Source organism: Homo sapiens, chromosome 8 (genome assembly GCF_000001405.40).
Source record: "Homo sapiens chromosome 8, GRCh38.p14 Primary Assembly".
Lineage (NCBI taxonomy): Eukaryota > Metazoa > Chordata > Mammalia > Primates > Hominidae > Homo > Homo sapiens.
In genome coordinates, this window is record NC_000008.11 from 47,572,503 (window position 1) to 47,594,463 (window position 21,961).

Consider the following 21,961-nt stretch of genomic DNA (forward strand, 5'->3'; position numbering starts at 1 on the left):
AATACAAAAGTTAGCTGGGCATGGTGGCGGACACCTGTAGTCCCAGCTACTCGGGAGGCTGAGGCAGGAGAATCACTTGAACCCAGGAGGTGGAGGTTGCAGCGAGCTGAGATTGCGCCACTGCCACTCCTGCCTGGCGACAGAGCAAGACTCCATCTCAAAATTAAATTAAAATAAATAAATAAATAAATAAATAAATAAATAAATAACTTGTACGATTCCTGTATTGTTTCCTTTGAAGATGTGGTTTGCAATTGAGAAACATTTTTGAGACAGAAATAAAAGATGAAAAAGGCTTCCATCGGATGGGTCTGTTTCCCTCTTGAGCTCTCCCACACATTGACACAGCATCTCTCATGGACCAGGGGCAGTGCCGCTGCCTGTCCCCAAGGAAGCTCCCTAAGCCCAGTGCAGGAAGAGAAGCGTGCTAAATAAGATACCCTGCAGACAAGAGAATGACATCGTTGATGAAAACAAATTTTTCTATGTTTGTCTTTATTTTAACAAACAGCATTTTGGGTTTGTTAAGTAAAAACCCATTTACATTAATTTTTCAGGTAATAAGTTTAAGACAAATATACCTAAAGTATAAAATGACTTGAAGTTCTATTTAAAATGAGTTGTCTAAATTATAAATCAGAAAGTCTACACAGTGAAGTTACGAGTGAAAAGTCCACTTGGTGTTTGTCCTGATTGTTTTTCGGCAGGCTTAGCACAGTGAGCCCCTGGAGAGACTTGGAAGTGTGTGTGGGCACAGTAAGTGACTAGTTAAAAGTTTATGTTTCAAGTTAGTGTTACCAAACTTGGAGGATGAAGATTTGAAAGTATAATGGCCTAGTACTGACTTCTCTGTAGCCACACACTTTACCTTCAGGCAGGGCACACTCAGTAGTCCTCTGTGATAAGGCAGGAAGGTCAGAGTATATTGAGGGGTCTGTCATGAGCGCAGTAGCTGCCCAGCAGCCCTCAGGCCCTGCAAGATACCCCCCTGCTGAGCCATCACATTTGTAGGGGGCAACATGATGTCGGAGACCAGGGCCAGGTCTATGTTCCATCCTCATCAGCCTGGAGGAAGGTGACAGGAGTAAGTTGGAGGAGAAGCAAAGTCTGGGAGGCTTCATTCCTGCCCCGGATGTTTTCCTCTTTGGACTGCAGCCTCTGGTAGCTGTAGAGATGCAGTTTTCCTGCTCAGGCCACCAGTCTCACTTTTGGAAGACCAATAATTGTGCATATGTTTCTGACTCTGCTTATTGTAGTGTTTCTCGTAGGCAGGTAGTTGAATCTCACCTTAGGGTATTATTTTGATGTTAGCATATGATACACGCCCTGCTATAGTTCTGCTGTGCCTTGGTTGCTATGTGACATTCTGAGGTTTTTGCTGTCCTTGTTGCCCTAATTTCTTTGTTTGTGAAAATAAGCAGCGTCATTCAAGAGAAATTATGCTTCCTCTGTAAAACAGACTTTTAATCCAAGAATGTTCCTACTGCTTTAAGAATTCAAAGCATTGTCTTTTAACCAGCCTTGCACATTTATCTATTTTAGCTGAGGTTTGTTCTGTTTGAAGCTAAACTAAGCTTAGTGCTTGCCTCTATGTGGTAATAATTAAAGTTGGGCTTTATGATTTCTGAGGACAATATTTCTTGGTCTTACTTTGTTGATTCTTTTATGTTTGTAATGTCAGTTTCATCTTTCTTGTGGTCATTGTCTTCCAAAAATCCTTTTATTGCCAGTCAGTGTGAATCCTTTTGTTCTGAATGCCTACATAAATTTTTGACTGGAAGTTCAATTTAGGATATTTTGTGGATTTTAGAAAAACACTTTTCAATTCATTTGATTTGTTTTTTTCCCTTTTTATTCTCAGTTGCATTATTCAAATAATATAATCTGTTCTTATCTTGTGCCATCTCCAGTTTTACTTCTGCTTCTACAACCTTGTGACATCAAAACATCCAACCATTAAAACATGTTCTACAGGCCGGATGTGGTGGCTCACGCCTGTAATCTCAGCACTTTTGGAGGCTGAGGCGGGTGGATCACTTGAGGTCAGGAGCAAGACCAGCCAGGCCAACATGGCAAAACCCCATCTCTACTAAAAATACTAAAAAATAAAAATAAAAAAAAATAAAAACAAAAATTACTTGGGCGTAGTGGCAGGCACCTGTAATCCCAGCTCCTCTGGAGGCTGAGGCAGGAGAATTGCTTGAACCCGGGAGGCAGCCTGGGCGACAGAGTAAGACTCGATCTTGAGAAGAGGAGAGGGGAGGGGAGGGGAGGGGAGGAGAGGGAAAGTTTTACATATGAACAGTGTCAACTTTTATCAAGGCAATCTGTATTATGGTGACCATTACTAGAATTCCTTTTTATACCTTTTAAAGTACACTATTGGCTTTCTGCTTTTGCTGATTTGTGATGATCTGAATCTATTTACAGATTATTATTCATGTGAATAATTACTATGATGTTTCTTGATTTTTTTTTAACTTTGTCAGCATTTTCAGTTCAACTAGAATTTTTAAACCAGAAAACAAAACAGAACCCCTGAGCTGTTATTGCTGATGTGATTGGTTCTTCATCCTATCCTGAGTCAGGTTATTCTTCCCAGAACTCTAATAAAAATTAGCCTAAGTAGAAATCGAGTCATTTATTCTGACCCCTGCTTGTCTTGGGAATTGCCACTTCATCTTTTTGTTTCTAAGTGTCTTGTTTTCTTTGAAGGTGGTCCCCACCATTCAGGTTTGTGGTTATTGACATCCTAGAAATGAAGTTGGCTTTGTTACCTGTGTGTTTGGAAATTTATACATTTCTGATTTAAAAGAATACACTAAATATTTCTTAACTTCTGTAGTTAAGAAAAAAGCTGGCCGGGCGCGGTGGCTCACGCCTGTAATCCCAGCACTTTGGGAGGCCGAGGCGGGCGGATCACGAGGTCAGGAGATCGAGACCATCCTGGCTAACACGGTGAAACCCCGTCTCTACTAAAAATACAAAAAAAAAATTAGCCGGGCGTGGTAGTGGGCGCCTGTAGTCCCAGCTACTCAGGAGGCTGAGGCAGGAGAATGGCGTGAACCCGGGAGGCGGAGCTTGCAGTGAGCCGAGATCGCGCCACTGCACTCCAGCCTGGGCGACAGAGAGAGACTCCGTCTCAAAAAAAAAAAAAAAAAGAAAGAAAAAAGCTTCGGCCAGGCGCAGTGGCTCACACTTGTAATCCCAGCCCTTTGGGAGGCCAAGGCAGGTGGATCACAAGGTCAGGAGTTCGAGACCAGCCTGACCAACATGGTGAAACCCCGTCTCTACTGAAAATACAAAAATTAGCTGGGCATGGTGGTGCGCACCTATAATCCCAGCTACTTAGGAGGCTGAGGCAGGAGAATCACTTGAACCTGGCAGGCGGAGGTTGCAGTGAGCCGAGATCGCGCCACTGCTTTCCAGCCTGGGCGACAGAGCGAGATTCCTTTTAAAAAAAAAAAAAAGTTTCTTTTTTTTTTTGTTTATCTTTAATTTGTAGTTAAGTGATAATTTTAAACGATCTGTTATGTGAGAAATACTATTTTGAAAATTTTCTACAATAGGCATATTATAAATCGAATATCTTTGAAGAATAATAAACATTTTTTTGACAAGGTCTTTTTTATTATTTATTTATTTTTATTTTATTTATTTATTTATTTTGAGACGGAGTCTCACTCTTGCCCAGGCTGGAATGCAATGGCACAATTTCAGCTCACTGCAGCCTCCGCCTCCGGGGTTCAAGCAGTTCTCCTGCCTCAGCCTCCAGAGCAGCTAGGATTACAGGCACATGCCACCACACCCAGCTAATTATGTATTTTTAGTAGAGACGGGGTTTCCCCATGTTGGCCAGGCATGTCTCGAACTCCTGACCTCAGGTGATCCGTCCGCCTTGGCCTCCCAAAGTGCTGGGATTACAGGCATGAGCCACTGGACCCAGCCTGAGACAGGGTCTTACTCTATTGCCAAGGGTGGAGTGCAGTGGCACGATCTTGACTCATTGCAACCTGTGCCTCCCAGGTTCAAACTATCCTCGTGCTTCAGCCTCCCAAGTAGCTAGGATTACAGGTGTGGGCCAGGACACCTGGCTAATTTGTATATTTTTAGTACAGACAGGATTTCACCATGTTGACCAGGCCGGTCTCAAACTCCTGACCTCAGATGATCTGCCCACCTTGGCCTCCCAAAGTGCTGGGATTACAGGCATGAGCCACCACACCTGGCCATAAATATCATTTTTATAAAGCAGTCTAATGGATCAAATACCTTCATATCCATTATTGCCTTAAAATGCTCTAATATAAATATCGTTATACCTGTATACAAGATAAAATGGATTCCATTAGTTTAGGTGATATTATGGCTTGTATGTGACAAAACTGAGACTTGAATTCGTGTCTTTAGAATTCATGTTCTGTATTTGACCTGCCATACAACAGTACCACTCCAAATAGTTTTCACCTGGAGAAAAATGTGTAATGGTGAATTGGATGTTTATTATAAAATGTGCGTATTGTTGGCATGACTTATTGATTCCACAGATGAGATGCTTAGGAGCCTTTGTCAAATCAGTCAAGTGAAGAAAGATGTTCTTCAAATTGTGATTTTCTCTGCAGCAATTGAGCTGTGGGCCTAGAGACTTAAGTTATGATTTTTACATTTTTCTTCTATCTCATGGAGTGAGATCTTTATTGTTAGTTAGAAAGCTAGAAAGTTAAACTGTTCATGTCAACAAGTTCATGCATTAAAATCCTATAGCTGTCCTGAGTACAGAAATCAACCTGATGTCATGGAACACCAAGCAGTTCCTGCCAGGACTGGCAAAGTGGACAGGCTCCATAGAAAGGTTTCTTGTCATTTACCCTACATCCTATCCTGAGAGTTGAGTAGCTGTTTCATCAGCCAAAAAGGGTAAACTTGAGATGTGTGCTCGGTACAGTTGCATCTTAAACAACATGGATTTGAACTGTGTGGGTCCACTTGTACACAGATTTTTTTCAATAAATAAAGGTGGCCCACCGTATTGGTGGGTTCTGCATCCACAACCAAATGCAGATCAAAATACAGTATTCGCAGGCATCCTGTGTGTATGGAGGACCAGCTTGAGAAAGTGCAGATTTTTGTATCCGCGGGGATCCTGGAAGCAATCCCTTGTAGACATCTAGGAACAACTATACTTAAGTAAAATTAGGTAGAGGTAAATGGTCTTGTGTGGGTTTTTTTTAAGAGTAGTAATACTCAAAATGTGGTTGTGGGTCCAATAGCATCAACATAACCTTGGAACTTGTTAAAAATGCACATTAGGGGGCCCCACCCCAGACCTGCTGAATCAAAGTCTGGAGGTGGGACCCGGCAACCTGTTTCAACAAGGCTGTGATTCTGATTCCTGCAAACATTTGAAAATATCTGCTCTAGAGTCACACTGGGAGATATAAGGCTGTAAGATAAAGATTTATGGTTGGCCTGGGAAGAGTAGTGCTGGCAAGAGTGGGAATGTATTTAGATTTGTATTCAGGAGTTGCTTTATAACTCAGGGTTGGAATGATAACTTAAAGACTAATCATAACTGATACTAAGGTATTCAGTTTTCTTTCAAGACTACACTATGCACTTCACTTGTTAATACATACATTTGAATCTCATTATAAAGGTTGCTACTCATGATTTTCAAAAAACATAATCAGCCGGGTGCGGTGGCTCACGCCTGTAATCCCAGCACTTTGGGAGGCCGAGGCGGGCAGATCACGAGGTCAGGAGATTGAGATCATCCTGGCTAACACGGTGAAACCCTGTCTCTACTAAAAATACAAAAAATTAGCCGGGCATGGTGGCAGGCACCTGTAATCCCAGCTACTTGGGAGGCTGAGGCAGGAGAATGGCGTGAACCTGGGAGGCAGAGCTTGCAATGAGCAGAGATGGCGCCATTGCACTCCAGCCTGGGCAGCAGAGCGAGACTCCATCTCAAAAAAAAAATAATAATAATAATCAAATAGAACAAGTACAGTTCTTTACCCAGAAATCATATGTATGGAAACTCAGCCATAGCGCTATGCTACTACTGACCTAGTAACAAGGTGCTTCAATGAAGCCAAATGTCTGAAACTTGTTACTTTTGAGTGCTAGACTCATAAACCAAACCCTGTAGACAGATCCTACTGCCATAGTGTGAATCTAAATTAGAAAAAAATGCATTTATTTACTATATTGTTCACTTTCATACATGAATAAATCATATAAAATATGGTCTGTTCCTCAGTGTTGTATTTATTCTGATAAAAAGGGAATTAGACAAGTACACTTGGGGAATTTTAAAGTAGCACATACAATCATAAATGCCAGTCTTTTATAGTCAATATTTTTATCAGTTTCTTAGTTATATGTAACTGTCTGACTTGGGTAGGAAGGTAGAGAAACACCTTTGAATGAAGTCTTGTCAAATAAGAAGCTGAAAATAAAAGGAATATGAGGCTTAAACTTCTTATTTCTGAAATTATCTTTATGCTTCAGTTTAGAGTCATTTTCTAAGACTTGTATTTTTAAAGTTTTATTAGAGTAAATCTGATTTTTGGTGAGGAGGAGTGGTACCCAGTCACTAAATGGCTGGGAAGGTGGGCAGAATATTTTGCTATTTTAACAAATCCATTAGTAGCAAGCACTATTGACATTGCCTTGTCAGAGTCATATTTCATGCTGGTGTACTGATGCAGGTGTCCAAAGTCACAAACAGAGGTGGTGTCAAAGCCTGTGAATTTAGCACTGAAAGTCACTGAGATATCGTAGCCCTTTTCAAATCCAGTCAGTCAAAAAGAATTTACTAAGTAACTAGAATGTGATTTATTGTCTGTCTTGAGAACCAGAATTATGATAACCCCACAGAATTTTCTGCATTGATGGAAATGTTCTATTTTTTGTGCTGTCCACTATGGTAGTCACTAGCCACACTGAATACCAGAAATCTGGGTCATGCAACCCAGGAACTGCATTTTAAAATTATTTTATTTCATTTTACTTTATTTCATTTAAATATGATTAGCTACATGGCCCAGTGGCTACCTTACTGGCCAACACAATGTAGAAGGTGGCTTTCAAGGTTCTGTCACCACAGGGACCCTTGTACAGTACATATAAATCTTTCCATGGTAACTTGCCAAACTGCCTAACACTTGATAACTGTCAGCAGATAGAGAAGCATAGTTTCCTCTACCCCACCATCCCCACCCCCAACCCAATTTCATGCCTTCATGTGAGCCCCATCTAATCGTGTGCCTGGCTAGCCAACTGCCCCGTCAGTTTGTGTCCCTTCCCTTTCCCATATGTTGGTTCCTCCAGGGTTGATTGTGGCAGGATCTTCCTTACCCATATCCAAGTAGGGAGTCCTGTCCTCCCTCCTGGGAGATGGTCTGGTATCTTGGAAAGAGAACAGACTGGCTTTGAAGCCAGTTGGTTTGTATTACAGCCCTGTCATGGACTAGGACTAGTGGTATACAATTAGTTGGTTGTTATTTAACCTCCTCCGAAGATGGGAATAGTCATGTTTACCCTGTGGGGTTGTTGTGAAGAGGACTAAGAGCATAGCAAGTGAATTAAAGCCATCAGACTCTAACCAGCTAGTATGGGTAGCAAAGAAGGCTCAGTGTAAATGTTGTGTATATGAGCAGGTGATGGAAAAGTGATATCCACTGCTAATGATTGTGATTCTTTTTAATATTTAGGAGGATAAAGATAATAGGTTTTGAGTAAGTAACACTAAATAACCCTAGTTTTTGCTAAACAATAGACAACAACTAATTTGAAATTGCTGAAGGTATAATTCACAGTAGTGACAGCAGCAGTGCCGACCATCCTTCCCACTGAGCCCTTGCACGTGGGAAGCTCTTCTCGGAACTCTGCATCAATTCATTAATTTCATTTTCACAAGAAATCTGTGTAGTGCTTACATCTACTCTGAATGCTCCCGATTTATAAAAACCGAGTCACAAAGACATTAAATTTGTCCACAGCCACACAGCTTGTAAGTGGCAAAGCCAGGATTTAATTCCAGAGTTTTTAGGTCAAAAACCTATACGTCCTCTCCTTCCTCCCATGTCATCGTGTGCTGTGCATTAGATTCTCACGTGCTTGGTCACATGCCACCCAGCGTTTTTATTCTAAGCCTTTATTTTAAATTTATGCCATTCTTAGATGCCTACATTAAAACACCCGGGACTCAGTTGTTACAAGGTCTGGTTTATCTGTTTCAAATGTACTCTCCTGCCTTCCTCTATTCCCTGTAAATGTGAATGTGTGTTTATCCATTAATTTAGTAAACATCTGTTGAGACCCTTGCACATGTCAGATACTGTGAAGTACCTAATAAAAAAGAAAGGCAAAAAAAGAAACAGCTGTTGTATTCTAGAAGTTCAGTTTTTAGTTGTAGAGGCAGACCCTTGAACATGACAGTGTGGAAAGCACCATTGGAGCACAGAGAAAAGAGCAACTTTTCCCAGGAAACTGGAAGAAGGAATGACATTCATTCCAAAATCATTGATTTTCCAGGCACTGGTGAGCCACCCAGCCAAAGCCCCTTCTCTCACAGAGGCAACATTCTAGAAGGGACTTAATTAACATGATTAAGTCCATCTTCTGTCTCCCGTGTAGAAGGCCATATTCTTTCTATTGCAGCACCGGTAACCTACTGTGTTTTGTTGTTTCCTGGTATATGTCTCTCTATGAACTTGAAGCCCTCTCAGCTAGCCCCCACCCAGAGATCCTAGTTTATTTTTTATTTTCAGTAAATCTAGTGAAAAACCCAGTCATTTTCATTTTCAAAGTGATTTTAACTCATAGTCTAAATTGAAAAATAATGTTTTCCTAAGTAGATATTAGTAAGTTTGCAAAGCTAGAATTAAACGAGGGCTTTCTTTGATTCCCCAGTTATAAGTGGGGTCATGTTTTTGAGTGAAAGGCTGGGTTTTCTCCCCCAAATTAATGAGTCAGTTAAAAAATATACACCTGTAGCATGATCACCACAGTATCTCTCCCTGTATAAGGCGCTCCAGCATAGTAGCCCTGCTGGACAGACAGAAGATGCATCTACCATCCAGCTTCAGCCTTTGGCCAGTGGGTCCCAGAGTTGAAACTGAATTGTAAACGACATTATCCCAAGCATGCCTTCCATGAAAAGAAAAATGTAGATTATATTTTCTGACAACTTCAGTTCTCAATCTATCCCCCTTTAGATAGCTAACCATTAAAAGAGGGAAGGAAAAAAGGGAGGAGAAGGAAGGAAGAAAAAAATTTCTATTTGCCTTTGTTTTCTTTCTGTCACTGCATTAATACCTATTAATCCACTAATCCTCTTTGCCACTCTCCACAGACGAAAACACATTCTTCCTTGACAGTAAACAAGCAAATCGATCCTAATTTATGATTTGGAATAAATACTGTGACTGGGCATGGTGGCTCACTCCTGTAATCCCAGCACTTTGGGAGGCTGAAGTGGGTGGATCACCTGAGGTCAGGAGTTCGAGACCAGCCTGGCCAACATGGTGAAACCCTGTCTCTACTAAAAATACAAAAATTAGCCAGGCGTGGTGGCGGGTGCCTGTAATCTCAGCTACTCTGGAGTCTGAAGCAGGAGAATTGCTTGTACCTGGGAGGCATAGGTTGCGGTGAGCCGCCAAGATTGCAGCACTGCACTCCAGCCTGGGTGACAAGAGTGGGACTCCATCTCAAAAAAAAAAAAAACTGCTTGTTTTTTAAGGTAGTTATAGTAATCTACATGTTAGTTACATTGTCCCTATCTACATATTCAGTGTAAAATGTATTCTTGATTTAATTTGTTGCTAAGCACAGAAAAAAATCAAGAAAACCTAACTAGTAGGAAAATAAAAGTAAACATCTTTCGTGAAACTGGGAATTCCTAAAACAAGTTGCTAGGAGGGTATTTCACCGTTGACAGTGCTGATAGTGATAGAAAATGAAAAGATGTTTCACATGGTTTTCCTTCTTTGGTCTTTTAGTCTCAATTACTTTTTCTTAAGTCTATTAAATTGTTCCCTGTTTAATTGAGTTCCACGTATATAACATTCTCAGGTGAGAAGTGGAAATAGTTCTTAATGCAAAGCGTTTGTTTAGGCAGCCATTTCTGAGATGTAATCAGAAAACATTTTGACACATTGTCATTTTTATTGATCATACAATATTCTCTATTTTTTAAAAAAAGCAGCCAGGTGTGGTGACACATTCCTGTAATCCTAACACTTTCGGAGGCAGAGGCTGAAGGGTCACTTGTTGTCTGGGCAACATAGCAAGACTCCATTAAACAACAACAACAAATTACACACACACACACACACACACACACACACACACACACACACATATTTTTAAAAGCTTTCCACCAGACACACACACACACACGTATATTTTTAAAAGCTTTCCACCAGAAACTCTAGCACTTAGACTTCACTGAAGACTGTTATGTCTAGTTTTTTTTGTGTAGTTTATTTGTGTGTGTAACTCTTCCACATTTTAGCCTGTCCTACCACTATGGCCACCAACTTCTCAAGTATGCTCTGAGAATTTACTGGAAAGTAAATGCATATCCTCAAAAGTTTCTTGTAAGAATGCAACCCTGTCTCTACTAAAAATACAAAAAAAAAAAAAATTAGCCGGGCGTGGTGGCGGGCGCCTGTAGTCCCAGCTACTTGGGAGGCTGAGGCAGGAGAATTGCGTGAACCCAGGAGGCGGAGCGTGCAGTGAGCCAAGATCGCGCCACTGCACTCCAGCCTGGGTGACAGAGCGAGACTCCATCTCAAAAAAAAAAAAAAAAAAGTATCAGTGGGAGTCCAACATCATGATAATGTTCATTGGTAGTGTTGGGTATATGTGTGACTTATCACGTGAGATTTAACAACTTAGGTTTTGTTCTTAGTTTCAGTTCAATCTTCACAAAAGCTAAACATGCTGAATGTTCAGTCTCAATCTATACATGCTATATCAACGTGCTTTTTGTTTGTCATATAACATTTGTGACAATGAGATCTGTAGAGAGATTGTAAAGGCCACACCACGTGGTGTTGGATTGATTGCAGCATAAAAAGAAATGGAAAGTTCATGCTATCTAGATAGATAGCACTGGTACTATAGATATGAATGTTTAAAAGATGTGATTTCCTCTGCCTGCTAATAAAGGAAACAGAACATGAATTTTTTCTGCAGAAACTTGATGATGTGATAGTGTGGCATGCTGATTACATTGACTCCAAAGTGCAGTCCTTGTCCCTGGGCAGTGCCCATGTGCTCCCTTCCTCTCCCTTCACACACCCACAGCACACTTTGTCCTGCCTCTCCTGGGAAGCCTCCTAGCAGCTCCCAGAGGGGCCGCCCTTGGAGCATCACATCCGAGTCACAACCTTTTCCTTTACAGTGAAACTGTCCTCTTAGCAGCCTTGTTGTCCTGGACTGGATTCCCAGTCCCCTGTCACCGTGTCCGCTGTGTCACAAGTGGTCATTAAAGGGAGAGTGGAATGAACCAAATGGACCTGGAGATGGATTTCAAGATCTTTCCCATATCCATTTGCCTCACAAATCTATTTGATTTGTGCTATTATGTGACTTGATTTCCCAGATCATATAGATCATATCATATTTAGTCACGTTATATTTGTGACTAAAATTTCAGGCTTTTCACATTATGCTGAATCATACTTTAAACTCATTCAGATTCCCTAATTCAGAAACTATGATCTTTTGGATCTACTTAGATTAATGCTTACCTGTGTAGTTATCTTTGGGGGATAAAGGAGACTTGTGAGTATATGAGAAGAATGGACAAGATTTCAAATATATGTTTACCTTAAATTAGAGAATTAAGTATTTTCAATAACATTTCTGCAGAAACAGGTAATATGCTAATCAAAACTTGCTTGTATCTGTTTTAAGAGGCTTACTGTATTTTCTGTATCCTAAGGACCATCATTTTGTTACTTAATAAGGTTTAAAGCAACAAACTAAATTTCCTTATGAATAATTTCTGTTCTAGACTAATTTAATTTGAGTAACTTGAGTTGGGAAGAATGGCCTTAACACCTTGGACTGGGCAGAACATACATAGTTCTAATATTGGTATGTTTATCTGCAAACTAGGAGGTTCTAAATACACACATACACTTTACCTACTGCTTCCTTCTTCTTAGCTGTTAAAACAGTATTACTTTATCATATCTTTAAAAAATTAACTTGAATCAAAAAGCTAGAAGTTTATAACACCTTTCATCCACCTGACAGTGTGCATCAGATCTGCAGTCAGCCCCAGGCAGTGCCAGACACTGCACCCACCGTACCCTTTTATTCTCCTGTGGCTTTCTCTGCCTTTCCCCCTCCCACTCCATCTGCCCCTGCCCTTCCTTTCTCTCTTTCTCACAACTTTTTTCCTTATCTCTGGGTTACCATACCTATCGGCTATTGGCTTAAAATAATATTATGTCAAGTTTGTATTGGAAAAATTATATGGAAATTTATTAGGTATTAGATACTAAGAAAAAAATGTATCTAGGATAAATGACAATTAGAGAATGAGACTCTACCTCTTGAAAAGAAATCATGGGAGTATAAGCTTTACGTATAATTAATCATATGCCTCCGTGTTAGGCAAGTTGAGCCCAGAACATAGTACGTGAAGTTAAAAATAAGCATTTTATCTTCTATCAGGGAAATTTGAGTACTAGAAATTTTGCATAAAGCCAAAACTTAAGTTTGTGTAACTAGTACTGATAATTGGACAGAAATTAGATACTGACCATTGTTAATTGGTGTTTTTTCTTAATATATGGAAGTCTTAAAGACTGGAAAACTCATGAACATAAAATGACTAGTGGGATGATTGAGAGGAATGTTGTTTTAGATTGATTAATGTTATACAATGTCTATTTTTTATTAAATTTTTTATTTTTAGATAATTGTAGATTTACATTTAGTTGTACAAAATAATACAGACAGATCAACTTCCTTCTTTCTCCTTTCCCTACCCCCACCCCACAACCTAAACCCCTGGCAACCACTGTCTTATTTTCTGTTGCTTATAACAGAATACCTGAAACTGGGTAACTTATAAAGAAGAGGGATTTATTTCTTACACTTATGGAGCCTGAATTTATTTCTTACACTTATGGAGGTCGAGGGGTTGCATCTGGTGAGGGCCTTCTTGCTGGTGGAGACTCTGCAGAGTCTTGAGATGGCACCACCATTACATGGCAAGAGAGCTGAGCATGCTAGGTCAGGTCTCTCTACCTCTTGTAAAACCGCCAATCCCACTCCCATGATAACCCATTAGTCCATTAATTCATGAGTGGATTAATCCATTCATGAGAGCAGAGCCCTCATGACCCAGTCATCTCTTTAAGGCTCCACCTCTCAATACTGCCACATTGGGGATTAAGCTTCAACATGAGTTTTGGAGGGGCACATATTCAAACCATAGCAACCAAAATATGCTCTCCACTTCTTTAGGTATTGGCTTTTTTCACTTAGCATCATTCTCTGGAGATTAATACAAGTCATTGTCTGTATCAATAGTCTGTTTCTTTTTATTGCTGAATAGTATTCCATGATATGGATTTAACATTTTGTTTAACCATTCACCCATTGATAGACATTTAGGTTGTTGCCAGTTTGGGACTATTATTAATAAAGCTGCTAACATTCATATGTAGGTCTTCATATGAACATAAGTTTTCATTTCTCTGAGATAAATGCCCAGGAGTACAAATGCTAGGTTGTTTGGTAGTTGCGTGCTTAGTTTTGTGGGGTTTTTTTTCCAAAAGAAAAAAACTGCCAAACTTTTCCAGAGTAGTTATACAATTTTACATTTCTGCCAGCAGTATATGAGCAATGTAGTTTCTCCACATCCTTGCCAGCATTCAATGTTGATATTATGTTTTGTTTTAGCCATTTTGCCTCACTGTGGTTTTAATGTGCATTTTCTTAATGGCTAATGATGTAGAACATCTTTCCTTGTGCTAATGTGCCATTTATATAGCTTTTCAATGAAATGTCTGTTCATACCTGTTGTTTCTTAATTGGATTGTTCATTTTTTATACTGTGTGGTTTTCAGAATTCTCTATATGTTCTAAATACTAGTCCTTTCTTGGTATGTGGTTTGAAATTGAAATGATTTTCCCTATGTCTCTAGCTTGTCTTTCCATCCTCCAAAGGGGGTCTTTCTTAGAGCAAAAGTTTTCAGTTTTGATAAGTTCTAGTTTATCAAGTTTTTTTTGTTGTTGTTAGCTTGTTTTTGAGAGGGAGTCTCGCTCTGTCGACCAGGCTGGAGTGCAGTGGCAAGACCTCAGCTCACTGCAACCTCCGCCTCCTGGGTTCAAACAGTTCTCCTGCCTCACCCTCCCGAGTAGCTGGAACTACAGGCACGTGCCAGCACACCTGGCTAATTTTTGTATTTTTAGTAGAGACAGAGGTTTCACCATGTTGGCAAGGCTGGTCTCGAACTCCCGATCTCAGTTGATCCGTCAGCCTTGGCCTCCCAAAGTGCTGGGATTACAGACGTGAGCCACTGCGCTCGGCCTCAAGTTCATTTTAAACAGATCAAATTTTTTATCTTAAGTCTAAGTACTCTTTCCCTAGTCCTAGATCCTAAAGATTTTCTCTTAAATTTTTCCCTAACATTTTTCTCGTTTTATAGTTTACGTTTATATTCATCATCAATTTTGAGTTAAATGGTATATAAGTTGTGAGAATGAGGTTAAAGCTTATATTTTTCTGCCTATGATTATCCAAAGTCTATCCTTCCTTAATTGAATTGCCTTGGCACTTTTGTCAAAAATCAGTTGGTAGGCTGCGCACAGGGGCCTATTTCTGGGAGGCAGAGACGAGAAGATTACTTGAGGTCAGGACTTCAAGGCCAGTCTGGCCAACATGGTGAAACCCCATCTCTACCAAAAAAATACAAAAAAAATAACGGGGCATGGTGGCGCACCTGCAGTCCCAGCTACCCGAGAGGCTGAGGTAGGAGAATCACTTGAACCTGGGAGGCAGACGGAGGTTGCTGTGAGCCGAGATGTTGCCATTGCACTCCAGCCTGGGCGACAGAGCAAGACCCTGCCTCAAAAAAAAAAAAAAAAAAAAAAATCAACTGGTGCTGAGCATGGTGGTGCACAGTGTATCTGTGGTCCCATCTAGTCAGGAAGCTAAAGCAGGAAGATCACCTGATCCCAGGAGTTTGAGGCTGGCCTGGGCAACATAGTGAGACCCTATCTCTAAAACAAAAACAAACAAAAATCACACTGTGGAGATCAATTTAAAAAAAAAATCAGTTGGGCATATTTGTGTAGTATATTTCTGGGTTCTTCTGTTTCATTGATCTATGTGTCTATCCCTTCAATAACACCATATAATATTGGTTATTATAGTTATAAAATAAGTCTTTAAATTAGGGAAAGTGATCTCCTTTACTTCATTCTTTTTCAAAATTGTTTTAGCTATGTTAGTTCCTTTGCCTTTCCTTGCAACTTTTAAAATTAGCATATATATATATATATATATATATATATATATATATATATATATATATATATATATATATACACGTATGTATCTGCAAACAAAATCATGCTGGAATTGATGGGAATTTCTTTAAGCCTATAGATCCATTTGGGGAGCTCCTTGATTTTGGCATCTTTATGATTTTGAGTTTTTCAATCCATAAATATGTCTTCCATTTGTTAAGATCTTTGATTTATTTTATCAGTGTTTTGTAGCTTCAGCATATAAGTCATTACATGTTTTGTGAGATTCACACTGACATGGGTTATTTTGGTCTTTTTTTTTTTTTAGTTTTACAATTTTAAATGGTATGTTTTTCCCATTTTGGTGTCCATGAATTCATTGACAATATGTAGAAATACACCTAATTTTTGTGTGTGTTGGTTTCTTCAACCTTGCTTAATAGTTCTAGGAGTTATTTTGTAGATTCCTTGCCATTTCCTGTGTAAGCAATCATGCCACCTTTAAATAAGGACATTTTTATTTATTCTTTTTAATCTGTATGCCTTTCCCCACCTATCTTGTCTTATTGCACTAGCTAGAACTTCTGGTACTATGTTGAATCAAAGTTGTGAGGGAGGAAATTTTTGCCTTGTTTTCCATCTTAGGTGGCAAGCATCTACTCTTTCATCATTAATTTTAATGCTAGTTGTGGGATTTCTGTTGATAATTCTTTATTAAGCTGTGGAAGTTCTCTTTCTGATTTCAGAGGTTTTTTAAAATTATTATTAAGGATGGACGTTGAATTATGTCAAGTGGTTTTTTCACATTGCTAATGTAATCATCTGATTTTTCTCCTTCAGCCTTCAACTTGGTGAAGGTGATTTTCAAATACCAAACAAGGCCATCTTGCCTGGAATTAACACCACTTGGTCATATTGCATAACTTCTTTTATACATTGCTAAATTCTATTTGCTAACATATTGTTAAAGAATTTTGTATCTGTGTTATTGAGGTATATTGGTTTATAGTTTGTTTTTTTTTTTTTTTTTTTTTGTACTGTCTTTGGTTTTAGTATCAGAGTAATACTTGCTTTATAAAAGGGATTGGAAGTGTTTCCTCCTCTTCTGTTTTCTAGAAGACAGTGTGTAGAATTGGTGCTAGTTCTTCTTTTCCCATTTGTTAGAATTCTCCAGTGAAAGTATCTGGACCTGGAGATACCACTTTTGGGAGTTTTAAAATTACAAATTTGGCCGGGCATGGTGGCTCACACCTATAATCCCAGCACTTTGGGAGGCCGAGGGCGGCGGATCACTAGGTTAGGGGTTTGAGACCAGCCTGGCTAGCATGGTGAAACCCCCATCTCTATTAAAAATGCAAAAAAATTTGCCGGGCATGGTGGCGCGCGCCTGTAGTCCCAGCTACTCGGGAGGCTGAGGCAGGAGAATTGCTTGAACCCAGCAGGCAGAGGAGGTTGCAGTGAACCGAGATCACACCACTGCACTGCAGCCTGGGCAACAGAGCATGACTCCATCTCAAAACAAAAAAAAAAAATTACATATTTATTTTCCTTAATAGTTATAGGCTATTCAAATAATCTGTTTCATATAGCATGAGTTGTGGTAGTTATTTTTGTTTCTTTTTGAGAAATTTGTCCATTTCATCTAAGTTGTGAGAATGTATGTAGACTTGTCCATTGTACTTTACCTAGCCTTGTGATATGTACAGGGCCTGTAGTGACAGCCTCCGTCTTATTCTTGATATTGGTAATTTGTATCTTCTGCCTTTTTTCATTTTTTAGTCAATTCATTGATCTTTTCAAATAACTCTATTGCATTGTTTTTTTCTCTGTTGTTTTTCTGTTCAATTTTATTTATTTCTGCTCTTTAATTATTTCCAGCTGGGTACGGTGACTCACCCCTGTAATCCCAGCACTTTGAGAGGCTGGGGTGGGTGGATCACCTGAGATCAGGAGTTTGAGACCATCCTGACCAACATGGTGAATGAAACCTGGTCTCTACTTTAAAAATATAAAAATTAGCCGGGACTGGTGGTGGGCACCTGTAATCCCAGCTACTCAGGAGGCTGAGGCAGGAGAATTGCTTGAACCCAGGTAGCGGAGATTGCAGTGAACCGAGATCGTGCCACTGCACTCCAGCCCAGGTGACAGAGCAAGACTCTGTCTCAAAAAAAAAAAAAAAAATTATTTCTTTTCACTTTCTCTGAGTTTATTTTGCTCTACTTTTTTCTAGGTTTTTGAGGTAAGAACTTAGATTATTGATTTGAGACTTTTTTCTTTTTTAATGTAAGCTTTAAGTTCTGTAAAATTTCCTCTCAGTATCACTTCAGCTGTTTCTCACAAGTTTTGATAGGTTAAATTTGTATTTTCATTTAGTTCAGTGTTTGTTTTTACATTTTCATTGAGACTTCCTCTTTGACCCTTGGATTATTTAGAAATATGTTGTTTAATTTCAAAGTGTTTGGAGAATTTCATGTTATCATTCTGTTATTGATTTTTAGTTTGATTGTACTGTGATTAGAGAATATACTCTATATGATTTCAGTTCTTTTAAATTTGTTTATATGTGTCTTATGGCACATGCATTTTGTGGGCACCTGAAAAAAATATGTATTCTGCTGTTGTTTGGTGGAGTATTCTATAATGTCAGCTAGAACCTGTTTATTGATGGTGGTGTTGTGCTCTTCTGTATTCTTTCTGATATTCTCTCTAGTTCTATCAAATGTTGAGGGAGAGATGTTGATGTCTGCAATTCTAATTGTGGATTTGTCTATTCTTTGAGTTTTATCAGTTTTTGCTTCATGTATTTTGAATCTATGTTGTTTGTTGCAGATACATTTAGGATTGCTATGTCTTCATGGTGGATTGATCTTTGTGTCATTATGTAATGTGCCTTTCTATATTTGGAGTTTTCTGTGCTCTGAAATCTACTTCATCTGATATTAATATAGCACTCCCACTATATTTTAATCAATGTTTACATGATGTATCTTTTCTCATTTTTTACTTTCATCCTACCTATATGTCTGTATTTGAAGTGAGTTTCTTGTAGACGGCATATAGATGGATCATAAATTTACTCTGCCAATCTCTGTCTTTTAATTGGTTTATTTAGACCATTTATCCTCAGTGTAATTATTGATACATTAGGGCTTAAGTGTACCTTTTTACTTTTTGTTTTCTTTGTTCTCTGGTTTTTTTTTTTGTTTTATTTTTCCTGGTTTCATATGGGTTACTTGAACATTAATTTTTTTAGAATTTTATTTATAACGTTTTGGTGTATATCTCTTTTTATAGATATTTTATTGCTTGCTCTGGGTATTACATATATGTAACTTAGCACAGTCTACTGGGTCAAAATTTTACCAGTTTCCGTGAAGTATAGAAACCATACCTCCCTTTATATCCCCTTTCCCTCCCTATTTATTTATTTATTTATTTATTTATTTATTTATCTTTTAGAATAACAAAAAACATTTTACTAAAACATAAGATTTGCAGAAATTTCCAGACAAGCCATACAAAATGGTCACAAGCTTTTTTTGAAGGGGGGAATCTACATTTGACAGCAGTGTTATTAGTGAGGGCTGTGATGTTTGTTTAATGTTCCCATTTTGGTTCAATCAATCAAGCTTGTCCATCTACAGCATCTAAATAAAGTTAGACTTGGCTAGAGAGCATATTCTAAAGACCTGGTTAGCTGCTTTTAACCAATGCAATTAGATCACCAAAAAAGGGGGAAAGGAACCCATAAAATTAAACTACCTCCCCCCTCAAAAAAAATAAAATAAAGAAAAACACGCACATCCCTGCAGCTAACCGGACAACTACCTTCATTCACAGTGCTTTATACTTAAACCAGGATGGGGGAAGTAAATAGAAACGGGGCGGGGGGGCACTGCTTTTAAACGTTTCACAACAATCCAGATGATACTTCTAGCTTCTGCTCATGCTTTATGACAGTGAATCAGGACAAGACATAGATTTGCTAATGTGCATTTAATCACCAAAGGACTGAAGATGTCTGGGCTTTTTTATTCAGTAATGTTTCTAAGACTGTGTCCATTAAATGCAAACAAAAAGGAGGAAGTCTTGGCAGAACAGGAGAAGTGATGCACACTTGATGATCGGATCAATTTAAATATTATTCATGGCATATAGCCTAGTTCATGCTCTAGCTGTTTCTATGGCTTGGGCTTTGTTGGTCTTCCACTGCTCTGCTACATCATTTGCTAATGGATCGTCTGGATTGGGAGCACATAACAAGGCCTGGGTTGATAGCAGAACTGTGTGCGGATCTGCAGTGCTGGGGACCAGTTACCTTTCAAAATATCGAAACATATTCTTCCCAACTTGTCTACATTAGGATGATAAATTTTGGTCATGAAACATACTGTAGGGGCTGCCATTGAGTATTCTTCTGGAAGGAATAGTTCAAGTTTAAAAGTCCCTCCCTCAAAGGGGGAAGGAATCCTGAGAGCCAGCAATGACCACATGAAAATAACAGGCATTGCTCTCATCTGGTTCTGCTTTGATGCCAGGAACTGGTTCTGCCAGCAAACCCTGGGTTTCCTTGATGATCCTGCGGGGCAGCCCTGCCATCTTATCAGAACCCGAGTTCGGCCTCTGGTCTAGTCTCCGGCTCCGCTTGCCTCACGCACGAGTAGAAGTCCTCCCTCCCTATTTATAATATGATTGTCTTTAATGTTTTATCTGCATACATTTAGAACCACCTCAGACAATGTTATAATTTTTGTTACAATAAAAATTTAGAAAACTCAAGAGGAGTAGGAAAGCCTCTTGTATGTACCTGTATTATTTTATCTATAGCCTTCCATTTCTATTTCTTTCTTCCCACAGGTCCTTGGTTCTGTTGGGGGTTTTTTGTTTGTTTTTTGAAGAGGAGTTTTGCTTTTGTTGCCCGGGTTGGAGTGCAATGGTGCGATCTTGGCTCACCACAACCTCCACCTCCCAGGTTCAAGCGATTCTCCTGCCTCAGCCTCCCGAGTAGCTGGGATTACAGCCATGCCCCACCACGCCCAGCTAATTATGTATTTTTTAGTAGAGATAGGGTTTCTTCATGTTGGTCAGGCTGGTCTCGAACTCCTGACCTCAGGTGATCGCCCGCCTCGGCCTCCCAAAACACTGGGATTACAGGCATGAGCCACCATGCCCAGCCAGGTTTTTTACTTTTTTTTTAAGTCTGTTTTCCCTTTATTATTTATATTGGGTAATTTTTATTATTTTTATCTTCGACTTTATTGATTCTTTTCTCTTTCTCCTCCTTTCTGCTGTTGAACCTATTCTTTTATTTTCACTATTTTTTTAGTTCTGAAACTTCCATTTTTAAGAAATATTTATTCTGTTTATTTGCTGAGACTATTTTTTTTCATTTGTCTCAAGTGCGTCAAGGTTGCTTATTAAAGCTTTTTTAAATGGCTGCTTTAGAATCTTTGCCAGATAATTCTAACCTTTATGTTATCTCAGTATTGACATCTATTAACTGTCTTTATTCATTCAAGTTGAGATTTTTCATGGTTCTTAGTATAACAAGTGATTTTTGATAGAAACATGGACATTTGGAGTATTATGTTTTGAGACTCTGGATCTTATTGAAACCTCTTTTAGGTAGCTTCATCTGACACTGCTCTGGTAGGAGAAAGTGAGGAGTGGAGTGGGTTGTTACTGCCACGTGGAGAGGGAAGTCCAGGTTCCTCAGTTGACAGTTGAGAGAGGGAGAGACTCCTTGTTCCTGCTGGGCAGGGGTATGAGTTCCAGCTCCCTGCTAAGCCTCTGCTGACACCACCCTGGCTGGGAGGGCCAGGGAAGCCTTGTTGCTGTTCCTCACATGCCTTCTGCTGAGGGGTAGGAGGGAAGGGTGGCCTCAGCACCACTGAGCAGCGGTGAAAATCCTGATTCTCTGCCACACTTCCTCTGGCACCACCCCAGAGGGGCAGGGAGTGTTGCTTGGTTACTACTGTCAGGAGGAGGTGAAGTCCAGGCCCCCAGGTAGTCTCTCCATTGTCACAATGAGGGGAGTACTCGTTGCAGGCCTGTGGGAGATCAAAGTCCTCCAGGCACGGTGGCTCACGCCTGTAATCCCAGCACTTTGGGAGGCCGAGGCGGGCAAATCACCTGAGGTCAGGAGTTTGAGACCAGCCTGGTCACCATGATGAAACCCAGTCTCTACAAAAAAAAAAAAAAAAAAAAAAAAAAGAATTAGCTGGACATGATGGTGGGCGCCTGTAGTCCCAGCTATTTGGGAGGCTGAGGTGGGAGAATCACTTGAACTTGGGAGGCAGAGGTTGCAGTGAGCTGAGATCGTGCCCCCAGCTGGGCGACAGAGTAAGACTCCATCTCAAAAAAAAGAAAAAGGAAAAGAAAGCTCCTTGGCCCACCTTCTCTGGTATCCCAGCTGGGATACTGGGGTGCTCTCATTACAGCCCAATGAGGGGGG

The 21,961-nt window shown here is 39.7% G+C and overlaps 1 protein-coding gene and 1 pseudogene across 57 annotated transcripts in view, besides 1 other annotated feature; one reads left to right on the forward strand and one right to left on the reverse strand.

Moving 5' to 3' along the window:
- SPIDR (scaffold protein involved in DNA repair) overlaps nt 1–21,961 on the forward strand; it is a 475,429-nt gene that overhangs the window by 311,625 nt on the left and 141,843 nt on the right. The window lies entirely within an intron of this gene.
- Nucleotides 4,013–4,512: an enhancer, noted in NCBI's record as "H3K27ac hESC enhancer chr8:48489077-48489576 (GRCh37/hg19 assembly coordinates)". NCBI's record gives its function as "activates a minimal SCP1, AML or CMV promoter by ChIP-STARR-seq in primed H9 embryonic stem cells {active_cell/tissue: H9 hESC(primed)}" and the evidence as "EXISTENCE:reporter gene assay evidence [ECO:0000049][PMID:30033119]".
- On the reverse strand, nt 19,347–20,169 carry LOC100507422 (ubiquitin conjugating enzyme E2 N pseudogene; annotated as a pseudogene).